This window comes from Homo sapiens, chromosome 17, assembly GCF_000001405.40.
Source record: "Homo sapiens chromosome 17, GRCh38.p14 Primary Assembly".
In the NCBI taxonomy this organism is placed as follows: Eukaryota; Metazoa; Chordata; class Mammalia; order Primates; family Hominidae; genus Homo; species Homo sapiens.
Window position 1 is genome coordinate 10469764 of NC_000017.11, and position 21348 is coordinate 10491111.

Sequence of the window (21348 nt, forward strand, 5' to 3'; positions counted from 1 at the left end):
TTCTTTATAGGCATTTGATAGGGGATGGGGATTCAGGGCTTCTAACACTGTTTCTCCAGTTTGGCTGTTGCATCATTCATCACAGAATTCAAAGCCAGATTCCCACTTACTCCTCTGCCTATAAAATTGGTCCAACAGAATGAGTCTGATGTGAGGAATTTAGGATTAATTAATTTGTTGGTTCTTAGAGCCATTAAGGAGTCTGGAATGAATTTTAGACCTGACACTATGATTGGAAGCAGTGAGCGATGGATTTTAAGACAACATTCCTAGCCACAGTCTGGATTTTAGAAAGACTGGCGATAGATTCTTTTAAAGTCTGAAAGTCTAAATATGAAGGTGAAAGTGAATTCTCAGATTAGGCAGTGGTGATGGACCACTGGGGGAGGCATAAGGGATTTAGAATAGATATAAACACTTCTGTTCTTTTTCTGGAGGACTTTCCATGGATATCTCCAGCTTGTATGTTTTCACTGAAGGAACAACAGGATGCTGTGTGATGTTCCATGCATGTTTCCTCTGCATAATGGAAGGAGACACAAACATGCATTCCTAGTTCATGGGCAGACTCTCATGACTAGCTATAGCTCTAATGAGGTGGGAACCACATATTTTTATTTAAGGTGGGAGGAAAGTCATGGTATCCACGATATTCTCCCTGTGGATTGAAAAGATGGATGGGCCATCACATATGCCCATAATACTCATAAATTGGCTTTTGATGGTTTTGCTACATACACAGCTGTTACTGAATATGGCAGGAAATATACCTACTCTAAGTGTGACCCTAACTGAGCTCTGGTGAGATATTTTCAACTATCATTAGCTGGCTTAAATTACCAATTAATGAGATCACTGTTTTTATAATTCTGTTGACTTAGAATTTATCTTTGACACATTGATAGATTGAATCTTTTATACTTTAAAAATTTATTTTGATAAAATTCTATGAAATAGGTCATCAGGCGTTAAAAACAAAATCTCCATGAAAATAACTCACCGAAGTCTAGCGACTTACCCAAAGTGCTAGGCTCTAGGCCAGAAGGAAACTTGTTCTATTTTTTCTCTCAGATTTTCACAACTCATTTATTTTTACTTCTTTTGGAACTTAACATCTGACTTGCAGACATAATAAGTATGTATTATATTTACTGTATTTGAAGTTGAAAGATGAAAGAAGAAAATATGAATGAGACCAAGATACATAGATGAGTTATAGGATTACAGATAGTGAGGACTCTTTACATAATAGTTAAAACTCTGATCAATTACAGATAGACTGATCACTCAGATTTTGAAAGCTCTGAAACAAGACCATAATATTCTAGTGGGACCCCTATTATGGGCCACCAGGAGTGGATCAGAGAACCTTGCAGAGCTTGGACAAGGAGAGAAGAGAAGCAGCACTGGGTGAGGGAGTACACATTTCCCTTAGACTTGCCTCTTAAAGGATTGTCTACATAGAAAACACAGGAGATTAATGCGAAGGCTTTTGTATTTGTATGGTTCTTTGTGATTAGATATGAGTGGGAAGAATGGCTCCAATCTAAATAAGGAGAATTATTTTGGAAACTGTCTTTAAGCAGTCTGTGTAAAAGCTGCTCGCTCTCTACTTTCCTCAGATTAGGAAATATTATAGGCTTCTATAACCTTGCATTTCCTTATCTATTAAAAACATAAATGTGGTGAAAATCAAATACTGCCTTCACCTTACGGGGTTGTATGAATTAAATTAGATTTTATATATATAGGTATCAGAAATTATATTATTATATCACATATGGGAGATTATGTATACTTTATTATATGCAATCTTATGTAATTCATACATGCACGTATGTAAACTGCTTAGGATAGTGTCACCAGGGGCAGCTGAAGCAAACATTTCTTCACTAGAGATGAAGGTCACAATGGCTTGCTGGTATTTCTCCCAAATATACCCAGGGAGTTAAAGTGGTAGTAAAGAGCTGAAGACAGATGGTAGATAGGAAATGTCTAATGAACAAGATTATTTTTTTTCTTTTAAAAATTTTGTTTAAAAATACAGTTGGGACCTAGGTTGGAGATGTTCATGTCTTAGCTTCTATAGTGTCCAGTGTGGCAGCATGACATTAATTTAAAAAACCCTTAAGATTCAGCAAGTCAGACTGGTGTTTGTCTTCTTTTAAATTTCTCTGAGACTCCAAAGGGCCATCACTACTGAAAAGAGGTTGTATAGTCACTTTCAAGTCAACTACTTTTATTACATTCTACATAGTTATATTTCATCATGTGGGTAGGTCATTGACTCACTTGTTTGCTCAATACATACTTACAGAGTGTCCGCTATGTGTCAGCTGTTGTTATAGCACAGGGGATAATGCAAAAAACTGGCAAAGCCCTGCCCTTATGGCAATTTCAGTCAGCAGGGGTGGATATACATAAACAAATAAACAAGTAAATATGTAGTATGTCAGATGGTATTAACTACTATAAAAGGAACAATAAAGCAGAGTAAGGAGTAAAGGGAATACTGCACCAAGGGGAGTGACCTGGATGGGCTTCTGTATTAAGGTGTCATTTGAGTAGAAGTTTGAGAGAAGTGAAGGAGCAGGCCATATGAATATCTGGAAGAAGAATTTTCAGACAGAGGGAGCACAAAGTACCAAGTCTCTAAAGTAGGAGTATGCCTAAAGTGTCTAATTTGTGATAACACGTATGAACCTTGAGAATATTATACTAGTGAAATAAGCCAGGCACAGAAAGACACATACAACATGATTTCACCTATAAGTAGAATCTGAAGTTGAATTCACGGAAGCAGAATAGAATAGTGATTACCAGGGATTGAGGGTTGGGAGAAGGAATTAGATGTTGATTAAACGATATACAATTTCAGTTAGGAGGAATAAGTTCAAGAGATCTATTGTACTGCATCATAACTATAATTAATAACAATGTATTGTATACTTGAAAATTGGTAAGAAAGTTGATTTTAAGTGTTATCACCACAACAAATAAGTATGTGAGGTAATGCATATGTTAATTAGTTGAATTAAGCTATTCCAGAATGTATACTTATTTTAAAACATCATGTTGTACACCATGATATGTGTAAATATATATAATTTTTATTTGTCAATTTAAAAAAGCAGCAAGAAAACCTGTAACAGGAGCAAAATGGGCAAAGAGGAGAGTGGCAGGAGATGAGTTAGGAAGGGTCAGGTAATGTAGGTCCTTATGGGACTATAGGGACTTTTTGGCTTTTAATCTGAGTAATATGGGAAGCCAGTGAGAATTTTAGGAAGAGAAGCAATAAAATCTGACAGAATGTAAAAATCACTCTGCTTTCTATGTTGAGTGTAGACTGCAGGCATCAAGGGTAGGCCAACAGTGGGCAGCAGGGCCAAGGATAGATAGGCATTGCCACAATGCAGATGGAATAGAGTAATGGCTTGGACTGTGTCCTAGTGACTATAGCTGCATAACAAATTACCCGAAATATGGTGGATTAAAACAGCCATTTTAGAAGGCACATGCATTCTGTGGGTCAATAATTTGGAAAGGACACAGTGTTCTCTCTGTTCTCCAATATCTGGGGCCCCTAAGATCCCAAATCCTGGGGGTGATTCAACACCTAGGGACAAGTACTTATAATAATGATTAGAGAAAAAAAGGATTGTTGAGAAGGATAACAAATAAATGAAGTGGTATCTGGAGGCAGACATGGGGTCAAGATAGGAAAAACTAAGCATATTGTTAAAAGATGGGCAAGATTAAATATATTTGTGTTGGGGAGAAAAATTCTGTGAGTTAAACAAATTGATAATGCAAAAGATGGAGGGGCTAGAATCCAGAGGCTAAATGGAAGGGTTGGACTCTGATGGGAACAGGAACACTTTGTGTATTAGGAAAGAAGACTGAGAGTGAAGGCAAGTTTTAGCTTAGTAGATTTGATGCTGAAAAGATGAGGGAGTTGGTACTTATGGGACAGTAGGGACTTTGGCTTTTAATCTGAGTGATATGGGAAGCCATTGAGAATTTTAGGAAGGAATTCTGCTTGCTTCTGTTTTCTCAGTGACGTACGCAGCAAAGTCATTGACTGAGTGGAAGGCAGGGGAGGAGATGTAGTGGGTATATAGAGAGAAGATGTGAAGTGTTCATTTTGGAGAGTGAAAGGTATACTACATGTCCCCAGAGTACTGAGAGATAATCATGAAATTAAAGTGAGACCTGTTTAGCAAAGTTACATGCTTTTTTCCCACAACTTTGTTTGCTTGGATGTGTCCACAGAAAAGATGAATATTTGGGTTTAACCAAGGTAAGAGTTTATCGGGTAAGTGCAATAGAGGGAGAGATGGGCAAGGGAGCTAAGAATCTTTTCAAGTGTGTAATTGTAATAATGTTCCATAAAATTTAAGCTTGAATAAGGAAGGAAGTGAGAATATGAGGGGACACACCAGAACAATGAAAAAGTGGAGGGGCATCAATGGATAGAAGGTCTTGATGATATCAAAGAAATTGTAGGGATGAAAATCTGGAGTAGGTGAGCTGGAAGAACAGAAGGTATTGGATAGAGATTGATTGTAATAAATCCCAATTGGTTGAGATGTGTAACTCTTTTTATACACTGTTGGATTTGATTTGCTAAGATTTTGTTGAGGATTTTTGCATCTATGTTTATGAGAGATATTGGTGTGTATTTTTTCTTTCTCATAACATCTTTATTTGGTTTTGGTATGGGTCATGCTGGCCTCAAAGAATGAGTCAGAAAATATTTTCTCTGCTTTTATGTTCCTGAAATTATTGTGGATAATTAGTATTATTTCTTCCTTAAATGTTTCGTGGAATTCGCCAGTGAAACCATCTGAGCTTGGTGCTTTTTTAGGGAATTCTTGATTCAACTTCTGCAATAGATATAGTCCTATTTAGATTATCTGCTTCTCCTTATGCAAGTTTGTGCAGAGGCTGAATAGTATGATTGAAATTGAGGTTTTGGAGAAGGTACACACATAGTGATGATGATTAAGTCAAGGATGACTATGTGCTGAATCTAAACTCTGGGGAGTCCCAGAGGCCGTTTTCTATACATGCAAACACATTTTTGTGCACACATATATAGTGTATATATTTATACAAATGGGATTGTATTATACGGATGGTGTTTATACAAATGGGATTGTGTTATACAAGTGGGATTGTATTATACAAATGGGATTGTATTACACGGATTTTTTTTTCATTATACTGTATTTTGAGCTTCTTTCCATGTTAGTATTCACTCGTTCAATTGGTATTTATTGAGCAGATATACAATGGTTTAAAAACCAAAGTGCTTGCTCTGATAGAACTTACATTTTGATGGGGGTGGTAGTGGAGACAATATGCTCATAAAAATACTTAAAGAAGAATTTCATATTCCAAGTGCTAGACCATGGAAGGTATAAATTAGAGTAACGAGATAGAGATTGATGTGGGGAGAGGACCACAAGAGGTAGGCTTCTTTCAGCTGTGACTTGAATAATGTGAAATAATTAGCCATGCAAAAATCTAAATGAAGAGCATTCCAGGTAGGGAAAATTTGGGGGAAGTGAGTGAGAAAAAAATAGCTCCGTATTTTGAATGCCTACTACAAACCGTGTGTGTATTCTAAACATTTGATATACATTGCTTCATGTTATCCTCACACAAACCCGAAGAGTAGAAAGTACTATTATTACCATATACTGAAAAGGAATTGAGCCACAGTCTGAGTAAGTAAATTGCCCAGGCCACATAACTCTGGTGTGTGGTAGAGTTAGTGCTCAGCTCAGGCAGGTTTATCCCAGAGACCATGGCATATCCTTTTTTCCCTCCCCTCCCCTCCCCTCCCTTTGCCTCCCCTTGCCTCTCCTTTCCTTCCCTCCCCTTCCCTTCCCTTCCCCTCACTTTTTTTCTGAGATGGGCTCTCACTCTGTTACCCAGGTTGGAGTGCAGTGGCACTATCTCGGCTCACTGCAACCTCTGCCTCCCAGGTTCACGCGATTCTCCCACCTCAGTCTCCTGAGTAGCTGACCACAGGCACGCACCACCATGCCCAGCTAATTGTTTGTATTTTTGGTAGAGACAGGGTTTCGCCAAGTTTCCCAGGCTGGTCTTGAACTCCTGAGCTCAGGCAATCCACATGCCTCAGTCTCCCAAAGTGCTGAGATTACAGGTGTGAGCCACCATGCCTGGTGCTTTGCCTATCCTTTTACTGTATGGCCTCTAAGGGCCCTTCCAACTCAAAGATTCTATATTTATCTAATGTGGTATTTTATTGACACAGTAAAGGCAATGCCAGAAGTAAAAAGCTAACAGGATAATAAGTGAGGGACCTCCTGTAAAATGACTTACACTTTATGAAAACCTACATGTATGGGAACTTCATGTGATGTTATGGTATCCAGTTGTTGAACATACCATAATTCTTATCCACCAGAAGCAGACATATTCAAAACCAGGATGCCACAAATAAATTAAAATCATGACACATAGAAATATGGAAATTACATGACTCTGAAAGATAGAAACGTATAGAGACTTATGTTTTCTTTACTACAGGATATAAGTAGAGACTTGAACCTGTTTTTCAAAACTTCTATCTTGGTGACATATTCATCATTTGGCCCCAATACACGAAACAGTTTTGCTCACTCACCACTTACCCCTCCTGGCTGTCTACACCTTTCCTCTTACTTCTTCCATTGTATGAATAGAGAAGTGTAAATGTGATGTTATAATAACTCAGAGGCACACATTTTCTTGGGCAAGCAAGTCTCAGTGGGAAAAAAATTGGAGAGATAGAATCTTTCAACTCTTTCTAGTTATTCTGTGTTATTATTTAGGACCTGGATTCCCAAGGGTCGATACTTATTTGTGTGGCTTACTCTTATTTTCCTTCCTTGTTGTTATCTGACATTTCTACCCTAAGGTATGAAAAATCATATGCTAGCTCCACTGCTCAGGCAACATTAATACTTACTATTTGAGAATCTGATTTTCCAAGTATTGATGAACAGTAGTACAAATAAATCAGTGGACAAATTTAATTATATCTTCGATTTCCTTAAATTCTCACCTCTTCCTCAGTTCCAGTTAGAGAGCAAGACTTGCTTAGGCATCTTGCTCCAGGAGGTAGACTTTTATGTTAAAAGTCATGCTTCCTTTCAAGAATTTTATTTGTGTTCAAGTTTTGGGTATGGCGCTAAGATACCTTTAATCAAGAAAAGAAGTACCGGGAAGTCACTGCTGTTCCTGCCAACAGCTAGCATCTCCTGTAGAGTTGGCATTAGAGATAGGAAGAGAATACACTCTGTTTCCAAGTTGTGGGATAGCAATGAAAGATAACTGTAAAAAGATAAGAGGCAGTTATGTTGGGAAAATGGATTAAATGTTTTCTTTTTCATGTACTAGTTGTTTGTGAGTACTTTGGATTTTTATAAATTTTACTGGGTAAACAGTAGCCTGTTGATTTTGACAGTGTTGAAACTAAGAGAAAAGATTGAAAAAAATAATTGTTTCTTAAACATAGGTTGTAGCTGGGGAAAATGCAGAAGTAAAATGTGGATAAATACAGATATTTTTCTTTGAACAAGTAAAATGAATGTATCAATCTGAAATCTGGATTTGCCTTGAGTAACAGGAGAAATAAGACAGGATGCAATAATTGAAGAGGAGAGGCAAGTCAGGATGCAATAACTGAAGGTAAAAGATAAGACAGGATGGAATAACTGAACAGGAGGGATAAGACAGGATATAATAATTGAATGGGAGAGATAAGACAAGATACAGGGATTGGAGAGGAGAGAGAAGAAAGGATGTGATAAATGAAAAAGACAAGACAGGATGTAATAAATGACAGGGAGAGATCAGACAGGTACAACAAATGAGAGAGAAAGAGAGAGAAGACAGGATGCAATAAATGGATATGAGAGGTGAGACAGGATGCAGTACATGAGCAGGTGAGATAAGACAGGTTACAAAAATGAGTGGAAGAGACAAGATGGAATAACTCAATGCGAAAGGTAACATGACACAATAAATGAAAAAGAGAGATAAGACAGGATACAGTAAGTGAACTGGAGTGATAAGACAGGATGCATGTAGTAAATGAGCAGGAAAGATAAGACAGGATGAAATAACTAAATAGGAAAGATAAGACAAGCAGGAGTAACTGGTCAGAAGAGATAAGACAGGATGCAGTAAGTGAAATGGAAAGATAAGATAGGATGCAATAAAAGGGCAGGAGAAATAAGAAAGAGTGGAATATCTGGATTGGAAAGTTAAGACAGGATGCAATAACTAAGCAGGAGACATAAGACTGGATGCAATAACTGAACAGGACAGATAATCAGGATGGAGTAAATCAATAGGAGATGTAAGATAGGAAGTAATAACTGAAAGGGGGAAAATATTAGCTTATTACAGACAGATTCTCCTTCCTACTAGGGAATGCTTTCTGAAGCTGGTAACATTGAAGGATGAGTAGGGTGGACTTGCAAAGAGGAGGAAAAAGCATTACAACAGGAGAAAGAAGAATATGACTGTGATATTAAAATATGGGAAAGGCAGCACTTCAGTCTACCTGGGTATCATAGAATTTATAAAAGTGAATACTTTGATGCCTACAGAAAGCATGAAAGTTGGGTAAAAATTGGAGACATTCATTTACTTATACTTTCAAAATACAAGTATTGAGCATAAACTGTTCAAGGCACAATCCCAAGTGGAAGGATACAAGAATGAACAAGTAAGACCCCCAATTTACACTCATGTAGCTTGTATTTTAATCAGAGAGAAAGACATTATTATAGTTATTATAAGTAATAAATGATGATATCATATAACAGGGACATCTTAACTGTTCTGGAGGGACTAGGAAGTGAAGAGTATCACAAGGCGAAGCTTCCAAGGTGCGAAAGGACTTCTTTAGGGTTTTGGCCTTTATGCTAAGAGCAAAGGGATGGTTTTAAGCTACAGAGTGTTGTGATCAGCCTATTATTTTTAAAAAGCTCTCTCTGCCTGCAGTTTAGAATAGATTTGTGAAGTAAGAATAGGTATGTGGAAGACCAGGCAGTAGATGATAGTAGTTTGGACAAGGAAGATGACAGTAAAGATAAAGAGAAATCGATGGTCTTGAAAGATGTTTAGGAGTAGTAAAAAAAAGTTAATGATTGATTGGATATGGGGGAATGAAGGACATGTAGATTTCAAGGCTGATTCCTAGCTTTTAGCTTGAGCCAACTATGTAGATAATGTTGCCATCCACTATGATAGAGTGGTATGGGAACAAAAGCAAGTTTTAAAGAGAGGAGGGTAAGGTCATGAATTCGTCTTGGCTGTGTTGCGTTTGAAGTGCCTATTAGTAGTGAGATTGAGTCTGACTCTCAAGGGAGAGAATTAGGCTTGGGATATAAAGTTGGAATTCATAGGTTATGAATGGCAATAGAAGCTAAGGGAGTAGATGAAATCATTTAGGGAGAAAATGTTAAGTGAGAAGAGATGGGGGTCTAAGATGGGACCTTGAGTCATATCACATTGAGCTCACATAAACACTTGAAGGTTATAGAGAGGAAGTTGAACTGACAAAGGAGAGAGAAGGAGAGACTAGATAGCCAAAGCTCTGAAGAAAACCAGGGCAGGAAAAAGTCTTGGAAATCAGGTGAAGAGATCAATTTCAGAAAGAAAGAATTGTCAGATGTATAAAATGTAATTGGAAGGTTATGTTAGTTAAGGCTTGAGAAGTGTCCATTTGATTTAGCAACAAATGAATCACTGAATCATAGTGAGATCCATTTCAGTGAGGGAGCAAAAACTATTTTGAAATGAATTAAAGAGTAGGTGGGAGGTGAGGAAATGAAAACAGCGTGTATACACAATTCTTTTCAGACACTTTGTTGTAAAGTTGAGAAGTGAGACAAAATCTGGAGAAAGAAATAGGATCAAGAGAGAGTTTAAGAAAGGATCCAGTACAGTGGGAGATATTGGGGATGAAAATGAAAGAGAAGTAGTCTATTATATAAATCTTCCAAAAAAGAAAGGAGGGAGGGAGGGAGATTTAGTGCCAAGCAGAGAAGATGGCCTTAAATTGGAGGAGACACCTCCTCACTGGAAGGAGGAAGATGGTTTGACAGTGTAAATGTGAGTCCATTTCCTTTTGAGCAAGATGGCTTGGCAGTATAAACGTGAGCCCATTTCCTTTTGGTGACATCTATTTTTTTCTTTTTTTAATTTAAAATATTTAATTGACAAATTGTATATTTTCAAGGTGTACAGCTTGATGATTTGCTATACATATACATTGTGTAATGATTACATCAATTAAATTAACACATCCATCACTACCCATGCTGTATGTTAGATCTCCAGCATTTAGTTCTCTTATATGTGAAATTTTTTACCCTTTAACCAACATCTTTTTGATTCCCCCCACTCTCAGCCCCTGGCAACCACTGTTTTACTCTCTGCTTCTGTGAGTTCAACTTTTTGGATTCCACCATATAAATGAGATCATGTGGTATTTGGTTTTCTGAGACTGGCTTATTTCACTTAGCATAATGTCCTTATGGTTCATCCATGTCATTGTAAATGGCAAGATTATCTTCTTTTATATGGTTGAATAACATTTGTGTGTGTATGTGTGTGTGTTACATTTTCTTTATCCACTCACCCATTGATAGACACTTAGGTTGTTTCCATATCTTGGCTGTTGTGAATAATTCTGCAGTAAATATGGGAGTGCTGGTGTCTCTTTAAGATACTGATTTAATCTCCTTTGTACGCTCAGAAGTGGAATTGCTGTTTTATTTTTAATTCTTTAAAGGACCTCAATACTGTTTTCCAAAATGGCTATACCAATTCGCATGCCCAGGAACAATATACAAGGGTTCCCTCTTCTCTATAGCCTTGCCAAATACTTACTATCTCTTCTCTTTTTGATAATGGCCATCCTAACACACATGAAGTGACATTGTGGTTTTGATTTGAATTTTTCTGATTAGAGATATTGAGCACCTTTTCATATATTGGTTGGCCATTTGTATGTCTTCTTTTAAGAAATTTAGGTCCTTTGCCCATTTTTAAATAGGGTTATTTGTTTTCTTGTTTTTGAGTAGTTTGAGTTCCTTTTACATTTTGGATATTAGCTCCCTATCCAATTTATGATTTGTAAACATTTTATCCCTGTATTAGTCCATTCTTACACTCCTAATAAAGACATACCCGAGACTGGGTAAGTTGTAAAGGAAAACGGTTTAATTGACTCAGTTCAGCATGGCTGGCAAGGCCTCAGGAAACTTACAATCATGGCAGAAGGGGAAGCAAACATGTTCTTCTTTGCGTGGTGGCAGCAAGGAGAAGTGCTGAGCAAAAGGGGGAAAAGCCCCTTATAAAACCATCAGATCTCATGAGAACTCACTCACTATCACAAGAACAGCATAGGGTAACCACCCTTATGATTAAATTACTTCTCGCCAGGTTTCTCCCATGACATGTGGGGATTATGGGAACTACAATTCAAGATGAGATTTGGGTGGGGACACAGCCAAACCATGTCATTCTGTTCCTGGCCCCTCCCAAATCTCATGTCCTCACATTTCAAACCAAAATCATGCCCTTCCAACAGTCCCCCAAAGTCTTAACTTATTCCAGCATTAACTCCAAAGTCCAAGTCCAAAGTCTCATCTGAGACAAGGCAGCTCCCTTCTGCCGATGAGCGTGTAAAATCAAAAGCAAGTTAGTTACTTCCTTGATACAATGGAGGTACATGAATTGGGTAAGTATATCTGTTCCAAATAGGATAAATCGGCCAAAAAAAGGGGGCTACTGGTCCCATGCAAGTCTGAAATCCAATAGGGCAGGAATTAAATCTTAAAGCTTTGAAATAATCTCTTTTGACTCCATGTCTCACAGATATAAGTGAGACTTATATCAGGTCACGCTGATATAAGTGGTAGGCCCCCATGGCTTTAGGCAGCTTTGCCCCCATGGCTTTGCAGGATACAGCCTGCCACCTGGCTGCATTCATGGCTTGGCATTGAGTGTCTGCAGCTTTTCCAGGGGCATGGTGCAAGCTGTTGGTGGATCTACCATTCTGGGGTCTGGAGGACAATGGCCCTCTTCTCACAGCTCCACTAGGCAGTGCCCCAGTGGGAACTCTGTGTGTGGGCTCTGCACCCCCATTTCCTTTCCATGCTGTCCTAGTAGAGGTTCTCTATGAGGGCTCTGCCCCTGCAGCAAACTTCTGCCTGGACACCCAGGCATTTCCATACATCTTCTGAAATCCAGGCAGAGGTTCCCCAATTTCAATTCTTGACTTCTGTGCACTTGCAAGCCTGACACCATGAGTCAGCTGCCAAGACTTGGGGCTTGCATCCTCTGAAGCAATGGCCAAGCTGTACCTTGGCCCTGTTCCCTGTTTAGCCATGGCTGGAGCTGAAGCAGCTGGAATGCAGTGCACCATGTCCTAAGGCTGCATAGAGCAGGGGGGCCTGAGCCCACCCCACGAAACCATTTTTTCCCTCCTAGGCCTCCAGGCCTGTGATGGGAGGAGCTGCTGTGAAGGTCTCTGACCTTCCATGGAGACATTTTCCCCAATGTCTTAGTGATTAACATTTGGCTTCTTATTAATTTTGCAAATTTCTGCAGCCAGCTTGAGTTTCTCTCCAGAAAATGGAGTTTTCTTTACTATTGCATCATCAGGTTGCAAATTTTCCAAACTTTTATGCTCTGCTTCTGCTTGAATGCTTTGCTGCTTAAAAATTTCTTCCACCAGATACCCTAAGTCATCTCTCTCAAGTTCAAAGTTCCACAGATCTCTAAGGCAGGGTCAAAATGCCACTAGTCTCTTTCCATAGCAAGAGTCACCTTTAATCCAGTTCCCAACAAGTTTCTCATCTCCATCTGAGACCACCTCAGCCTGGACTTCATTGTCCATATCACTATCAGCATTTTAGTCAAAGCCATTCAACAAGTCTCTAGGAAGTTCCAAACTTCTCACATCTTCCTGTCTTCTGAGCCCTCCAAGTCTCTAGGAAGTTCCAAACTTTCCCACATTTTCCTGTCTTGTTCTGAGCCCTCCAAACTGTTCCAACCTCTGCCTGTTACCGAATTCCAAAGTTGCTTTCACATTTTTCGACATCCTTACAGCAGCACCCGACTCTCTGTGGTACCAATTTACTGTATTAGTCAATTCTTACACTGCTAATAAAGACATACCTGAGACTGGGTGATTTATAAAGGAAAGAGGTTTAATTGACTCACAGTTCAGCATGGCTGGGGAGACCTCAGGAAACTTACAGTCATGGCTGAAGGGGAAGCAAACACGTGCTTCTTCACATGCTAGCAGCAAGAAGTGCCAAGCAAAAGGTGGAAAATTTGCTTATGAAACCATCAGATCTCAGGAGAACTCACTATCATGAGAACAGCATGAAGGTAACTGCCCCTGTGATTCAGTCACCTCCCACTGGGTGCCTTCCATGACGTGTGGGGATTATGGGAACTACAATGCAAGATGAGATTTGGGTGGGGACACAGTCAAACCGTATCACTCCCAATCTGTGGGTTGGTTCTTCACGCCATTAACTTTCCTTTGCTGTACAGAAAAGCCTTTTAACTTGATGCAGTCTCATTTGTTTATTTTTGCTTTTGTTTTCCATGCTCTTGGGGTCATACCAAAGAAATCACTGCCCATACCATTGTCATGGAGATTTTTTCCCCATGTTTTCTTCTAGTAGTTTTACAGCTTCAGGTATTATGTTTAAGTCTTTATTCCATTTTGAGTTAGTTCTTCTATAAATGATGAGATAAGGGTCTATTTCACTCTTATGCATGTGGATACTCAATTTTTCCACCACTATTGAAGAGACTATCCTTTCCCTATTGGTATTCTTGGCATCTTTGTCAAAAATCAATTGACTATAGATGTGCAAGTTTATTTCTGGGCTTTCTATTCTTATTCCATTGGTCAGTGCATCTGTTTTCATGCAACTACCATGCTATTTTGATTACTATAGTGTATTTGTTCATTTTCACACTGCTATAAAGAACTACCTGGAACTGGGCAATTTATGAAGAAAAGAGGTTTAATTGACTCAGCTCCATAGGCTTAACAAGAAGCATGGCTGTGAGGCCTCAGGAAACTTACAATCATGGCAGAAGGCAAAGGGGAAGCAAGGACCTTTTTCACACAGTGGTAGGAGGGAGACAGAGAGACAGAGAGAGAGAGAAAGTGCCACACACTTTTAAGCCATCATCAGATCTCATGAGAACTCACTTATTATCACAAGAACAGCAAAGGGGAAATCCACCCCCATGATCCAACACACTTTTAAACTATCAGATATCATGAGAACTCACTCACTATCATGAGAACAGCAAAGTGGAAATCCGCCCCCATGATCCAGTCACCTCCCACCAGCTCCCTCCTCCAATTTGACATGAGATTTGGGCAGGGACACAAATCCAAACCATATCATATAACTTTGTAATGTATTTTGAAATGTGGTAGTGTGATGCCTTCAACGTTGTTCATTTTGATCAAAATTGCTGTGACTATTTGGGGTCTTTTGTGCTTCCATACAAATTTTAGGATTTTTTTTTCTATTTCTATAAAGAATAACATTGGAATTTTTATAGGAATTGCATCGACTCTGTAGATCACTTTGGGTAGTATGGACATTTTAACAAAATTTATTCTTCCAATCTATGAACATAAGATATCATTCCATCTATTTGTGTCATCTTCAATTTCTTTCATTAATGTTTTATGGTTTTTGGTAAACACATATTTCACTTTGTTGGTTAAATTTACTCCTGTATTAGTCTGTTCTCACTCTGCTATAAAGAAATACCTGAGACTGGGTAATTTACAAAGAAAAGAGGTTTAATTGGCTTATACTTTCACAGGCTGTACAGGAAGTATAGTGGCTTCTTCTGAGGAGGCCTCAGGAAATTTACAATCATGGCAGAAGGTGATGGGGAAGCAGGAGCGTCTTACATGGCTGGAGCAAGAGGAAGAGAGAGGTGGGGAGGTGCTACACATTTTTAAATGACCAGATATTGTGAGAACTCTATTACAAAACATGACCAAGGGGATAGTGCTTAACCATTTATGAAGGATCCACCCCTCCCCCACCAGGCCCCACCTCTGACACTGGGGTATTACAATTGAACATGAGATCTGGGTGGGGACACAGATTGAAACCTATCAGGGGAACCAGCCCCCGATAAGTCAACATAGGTTCTTTTCTATTTTCTCTAAGTGTCGGCTGGTCTGAGAAATAAAGGGAAAGAGTATGAGAGAGAAATTTTAAAGCTGGGTGTCTGGGGGAGACATCACATGTTGGCAGATTCCGTGATGCCCCCTGAGCCATAAAACCAGCAAGTTTTTATTAGCAATTTTCAAAGGGGAGGGAGTGTACGAATAGGGTGTGGGTCACAGAGATCATATGCTTTAAGGGCAACAAAAGATCACAAGGCAGAAGGTCAGGGTGAGATCACAAGGTCAGGGGGAAACTAGAATCACTAATGAACTTCCACATCCCACTGTGTACGCATTGTCATTGATAGACATCTTAACAGGGTTCAAGAGCAGAGGACCGATCTGACTAGAATTTGCCAGGCTGGAATTTCCTAATCCTAGCAAGCCTGGGGGTGCTGCAGGAGACTAGGGCGTGTTTCATCCCTGTCTACATCTGCATAAGGCAGACACTCCCAGGGCAGCCATTTTAGAGGCCCCACCCTGGGAATGCATTCTTTTCCCAGGGCTGTTAATTATTAATATTCCTTACTGGGAAAAGAATTCAGCGATATTTCTCTGACCCGTTTTTGGTAATAAGAGAAATATGGCTCTGTCCTGCCCAGCCCACAGGCAGCCAGACTTTAAGGTTATCTCCCTTCTTCCCTGAAAATCGCTGTTAATCCTGTTCTTAAGGTGCCCAGATTTCATATTGTTCAAACACACATGCTCTACAAACAATTTGTGCAGTTAATGCAATCATCACAGGGTCCTGAGGTGACATACATCCTCAGTTTACAAAGATGATGGGATTAAGAGATTAAAGTAAAGACAGGCATAGGAAATCACAAGAGTATTGATTGGCGAAGTGATAAATGTCCATGAAATCATCACAATTTATGTTCAGAGATTGCAGTAAAGACAGGTGTAAGAAGTTATAAAAGTATTAATTTGGGGAACTAATAAATGTCCATGAAATCTTCACAATTTATGTTCTGCCATGGCTTCAGCCGGTCCCTCCATTTGGGGTCCCTGACTTCCCACAACAGAAACCATATTAACTTCTATGTGTATTTGTTTTTAGATGCTATTGTAAATGGGATTATTTCCTAATTTTTAAAAGATAGTTGTTTGTGTACAGAATCAGTGGTATACACTGCTGATTTTTGTATGTTAATTTTGTATCTTGCAACTTAGCAGAATTTCTTTGCTAGTTCTAACAGTTTTTTGGTGGTATCCTTAGGGCTTTTTATATATAAGATTATGTCATCAGCAAACAGAGACAATTTCACTTTTTCCTTTTTTATTTAGATGGCTTTTTATTTTTTTTTACTTGCATAATTGTTCTGGCTAGGACTTCCAGCACTATGTTGAAAAGAAGTAGTGAGAGTGGGTAACCTTATCTCACTCTTGATCTTAGAGCAAAAACCTTCAACTTTTCACCATTGAGTATGTTAGCTGTGGGGTTGTCATATATGGTCTTAATTGTGTTGAAGAACATTCCTTCTATCTATATCTATGTCATTGTTTTTATTATGAAAGAATTTTGAATTATATTAAATGCTTTTTCTGCATGACTGAGATGATAATATGATTTTAATCCATCCTTCTTTCTGTTAATGTAGTATGCTACATTTATTGATATGTATATATTGAACCATCCTTGAATTATAGGAATAAATCTCAGTTGATCATGGCATATGATCCTTTTAATGTGTTGTTGAATTCAGTTTGCTAGTATTTTCTTGAGGATTTTTGTATCTGTGTTCATCAGGGATATTGACCTGTGATTCTATTTTCTTATAGTGTTCATATCTGGCTTTGGTATGAGAGTACGGCTGGTTTCAAACAAATGAGATTGGAAATGTTCTCTTCTCTTCATTCTTTTGGAAGAGTTTGAGAATTATTGCCATTAATTGTTTCATTGCTTGGTAGAATTCACTTGTGAAGCCATCTGGTCATGGGCTATTCTTTGTTGGGACTTTTTGATTACTGATTCATTTTCCTTGCTCATTATTGGTCTGTTCGGACTTTTTATTTATGCTTCAGTCTTGGTAGGTTGTCTATTTCTAGGAATTTATCTATTTCTTCTAGGTTATTCAATGTATTGACTATAGCTGTTCATAATAGTCCCTATGATCCTTTATATTTCTGTAATATGAGTTGTAATGTTTCTTTTTCATTTATAATTTTATGTATCTGAGTCCTCTTTTTTTCTTGGTTAGTTTAGCTGAAGAATTGCCAATGTTTTTTATCTTTTGACAAAACCAAGTCATAGTTTTGTTGACCTTTTCTACTCTCTTTATAGTCTCTGATTCATTATTTCTGCCCTAATCTTTATTTCTTTCTCATTCCTTCTTCTGACTTTGACCTTAGTTTATTTTTTTCTGATTTCTTGGGGTGTGAAGTTAGGTAGTTTATTTGAAGTCTTTTTTTTTCTTAATGTTGGTATTTATCACTATAAATTTCCCTCTTATAACTGCTTTTTCAGCATCCCATAAATTTGAGTATGTTGTATTTTCATTTTTATTTGTCTCAAGATATTTTTTTATTTCCCTCTTTGATTTCTTTTTTGATCCATTGGTTGTTCAGGAGTGTGTTGTTTAACTTTCACATATTTGTGAATTTTTCAAAATGTTCTTGTTATTTCTTTTTAGTATTATACCATTGTGGTTAGAAATAATACTTGATCTTAATATTTTTAAACTTGTTAAGACTTGTTTTGTGGCCAAATATGTAACCTGTCCTGGAAAATGTTCAGGTGCATTTAAGAAGAATATATATTCTGTTGTTTTGGGATGGAATGGTCCATATATGTCTGTTAGACCCATTTGGTCTATATTGTTATTAAGTCTGCAGTTTCCCTTCTGATTTTCTGTCTGGTTGGTCTATCCATTGTTAAAAGTGGGATATTGAAGTCTTCTACTATTATATTGCTGTCTATTTCTTCCCTTAGTTTTGTTAATATTTACTTTATATTTTTAGGTGCTCTAATGTTGGGTGCATATATAATTACAATTATTATATCCTCTTAATGGATTGATTCTTTTATCATTACATAGTGACCTACTTTGTTTCATGACAGAATTTGACTGAAATTAATATAAGTGTAGCCACTCATGTTATTTTTTGGTTACCATTTGCATGGAATAACTGTCTATCTCTACTTTCTGTCTACCTATGTCCTTCAGACTAAAGTGAGTCTCTTGTAGACAGCATATTTTTGGATCTTGTCTTTTAAATCCATTCAGCCACTCTGTTTCTTTCGATTGGAGAATTTAGTCTATTTACATTGTAAGTAATTATTGAAAGGACTTACTATTGCCTTTTAATTGGTAATTGTTTTCTGATTGTTTTGTAGATCTTTTGTTTCCTTCTTCTTTCTTGCTGTCTTTGTGATTTTTTGGGTTTTCTTAGTGGTACATGTTGATTTTTTTCTATTTATCTTTTGTGCATCTACCATAGGGGTTATTTTTGTGGTTAACATGGGGCTTACATAACCTTCTCTTTTTAGTGGATAACAACTTTAATCATATACAAAAACTCTACACTTTTATTTTTCTCCATGTTTTATGCCACAGTTTACATATTTTTATGTTGTGTATAAAATTTATATATATTAGTTTATATTAAATTATTATAGCTATAGTTTTAAAATCTTTTTGTATTTTAGCTTTTATACTAGAATTGGAAGTGAAATACACAGCACTATTACAATATTAGAGTATTCTGATTTTGACTGTGTATTTAACTTTCCCTATGAGTTTTATACTTTCATATGTTTTCTCTTTTCCTTCCTTCCTTCCTCTCTCCTATTTTCTTTCTTTCTTTTTCTTTTCTTTTCTTTCTTTCTTTCTCTCTCTCTCTTCCTTCTTTTCTTTTCTTTCTTTCCTTCTCTTCTCTTTCTTTCTTTCTTTCTTTCTTTCTTTCTTTCTTTCTTTCTTTCATCTTTCTTTCTTTCTTGTCTTGCTCTGCTGCCTAGGCTGGAGTGCAGTGGCATGATCTCAGCTCACTGTAACCTCTGCCTCCTGGGTTCAAGCGATTCTCCTGCCTGAGGGAGAATCAAGCAATTCTGCTGAGTAGCTGGGACTATAGGCACAAAATGGGGTTTCAACTTGTTGGCTAGGCTGGTCTCAAACTCCTGGCCTCAATTGATCCACTTGCCTTGGCCTCCTAAAATGCTGAGATTACCAGCGTGAACCACCATCTCCGACCTCATATGTTTTCATGTCGTACTTAGCATTCTTTCATTTCAATCTGAAGAATTCCCTTTAGCATTTTTTGTTAGGCAGGTCTTGTAGTGGTGAGCTCTCTGAGCTCTTGTTTGTCTGGGAATGTCTTTATTGCTTTTTCATTTCTGAAGGATACCTTTGCCAAGTACAGTATTTTTGCTTGTAGTGTTTTATTTCAGCACTTTGAATATGTCATCCCACTCCTTTCTGACTTGCAGGGTTTCTGTTGAGAAGTCCACTGTTAGCTTTATGTAGGTTCCCTTGTATGTGATGAGCTGCTTTTTTCTTGCTTCTTTCAAAATTTTCCATCTTTGACTTTCACAATTTTATTACAATATCTTGGAATATTCTTTTTTTGGGTTAATTTGTCTTGTGATTCTATGAGTTTCATGGATCTGGATATGTATATCCTTTTCAAGATTTGGGAATTTTTAGCTAGTATTTCTTTAAATAAGCTTTTTGTCCCTTTTTCTCTCTTCTCCTTCTGACACTGTCATAATTTATATATTTGTATGCTTGATGGTGTCCATAGTCCTTTATGCTTTTTCTTTTTCCTTTTTTGATCCTCTAATTGACTAATTTCTGATGACAGATCTTTGAATTCACTAATTCTTTCTTTTGCATGATTGAGTCAGTTGTTGAAACTTTTTATTGAATTTTTCTATCTTTTATAGTATTATTCAGCTCCAGGATTTCTGGGGGTTTTTTTTGTCTTTACTATGGTTTCTATTTCTTTGTTAAACTTTTCACTTTGTTCATGCATTGTTTTCCTAATTTTGTTTAGTTGTCTATTTTGGTTTTCTTGCTTCTCATTGAGCTTCTTTAAGATTATTATTTGAATTCTTTTTCATGCAGTTTATAGATCTCCATTTCTTTGGGGTTGGTTATTGGAGCTTTATTAGTTTCATTTGGTGGTGTCATGTTTACATGATCCTTTGTTATCTGTGTAGTCCTGCATTGGTGTCTGAGTTTATTCAGGTTTAGTTCTTTCCACTCAAATGTAATAGGGTATAGAGAATGGCAGAGAAATTTAGGGAGTTGTCAAGAGAATGGCTATAAAGATAGGTTATGAATTTTCCTTAAATGGGAAGAGAAATAAAGATAAAAAAGAGGCTGATTTAGTTAAGAAGTAAAGAGACCAAATATTCAGGTGCTAATGGGGTTGAAGAAATGTTATGTCGGGAATAGTCCAACAAGTAAGGTAGAAAATCAGAAAGGAGATGCTTTATGTAGTTAGTTTGGAGAATGGAGATTGGGCAGTTTTGTGATATTTTCTAGAGTGAGATGAGACTATGGAAGAGGGGTAGTGGCAGAGAAGGTAGTCGAGGTGGAAGTTAGTATAGTCTATGAATCATCCATGTGGACATTGAAATCTCCCAGGAATGTGGTAAGGATTGGGTGGAAAGGAAAAGCAGGTGCCAAAATCTTTGATGAATGAAAAGTTAGTAAATGACCACAGTAGGTATGTGGAATAGCTAAATAATATGAACTTCAAAGAAGGAAGAGTCTTCTATAGGAGGATAAGCAACAAGGGGAATTGAGAGGGGTATTATTTCTAGCTTAGGACTAAGGAGTTCTTGAACCATGAGAGAATAATGGCCACCTCTTAAGAAGACTTACAGGGAAGGATTTTTATCAGGGGGAGGCAGATTTCAATTTAAACCAAGAAGTGGGTTGAGGGGAATATTCCAAAGAGCATAAGAGATCTCATGTTTTCCAGGAGGGTCAATATTAAGTGAGGGTACAGCTAAGATTTGCTACCATAATCAGATCCTTCCATCTTTTCCTGACTCTTTGCTTAACATATGCCCATTTATTTATCGTTTTTCTCATTGTGAATAACCAAAGGAAATGGCAATGTGTAATTCGAATATTAGGATA

At 37.6% G+C, this 21348-nt stretch overlaps 1 long non-coding RNA gene across 1 annotated transcript in view; it reads left to right on the forward strand.

Moving 5' to 3' along the window:
- Positions 1–21348, forward strand: part of MYHAS (myosin heavy chain gene cluster antisense RNA) — a 242409-nt gene that overhangs the window by 86632 nt on the left and 134429 nt on the right. The gene's annotated exons all lie outside the window — the stretch shown is intronic.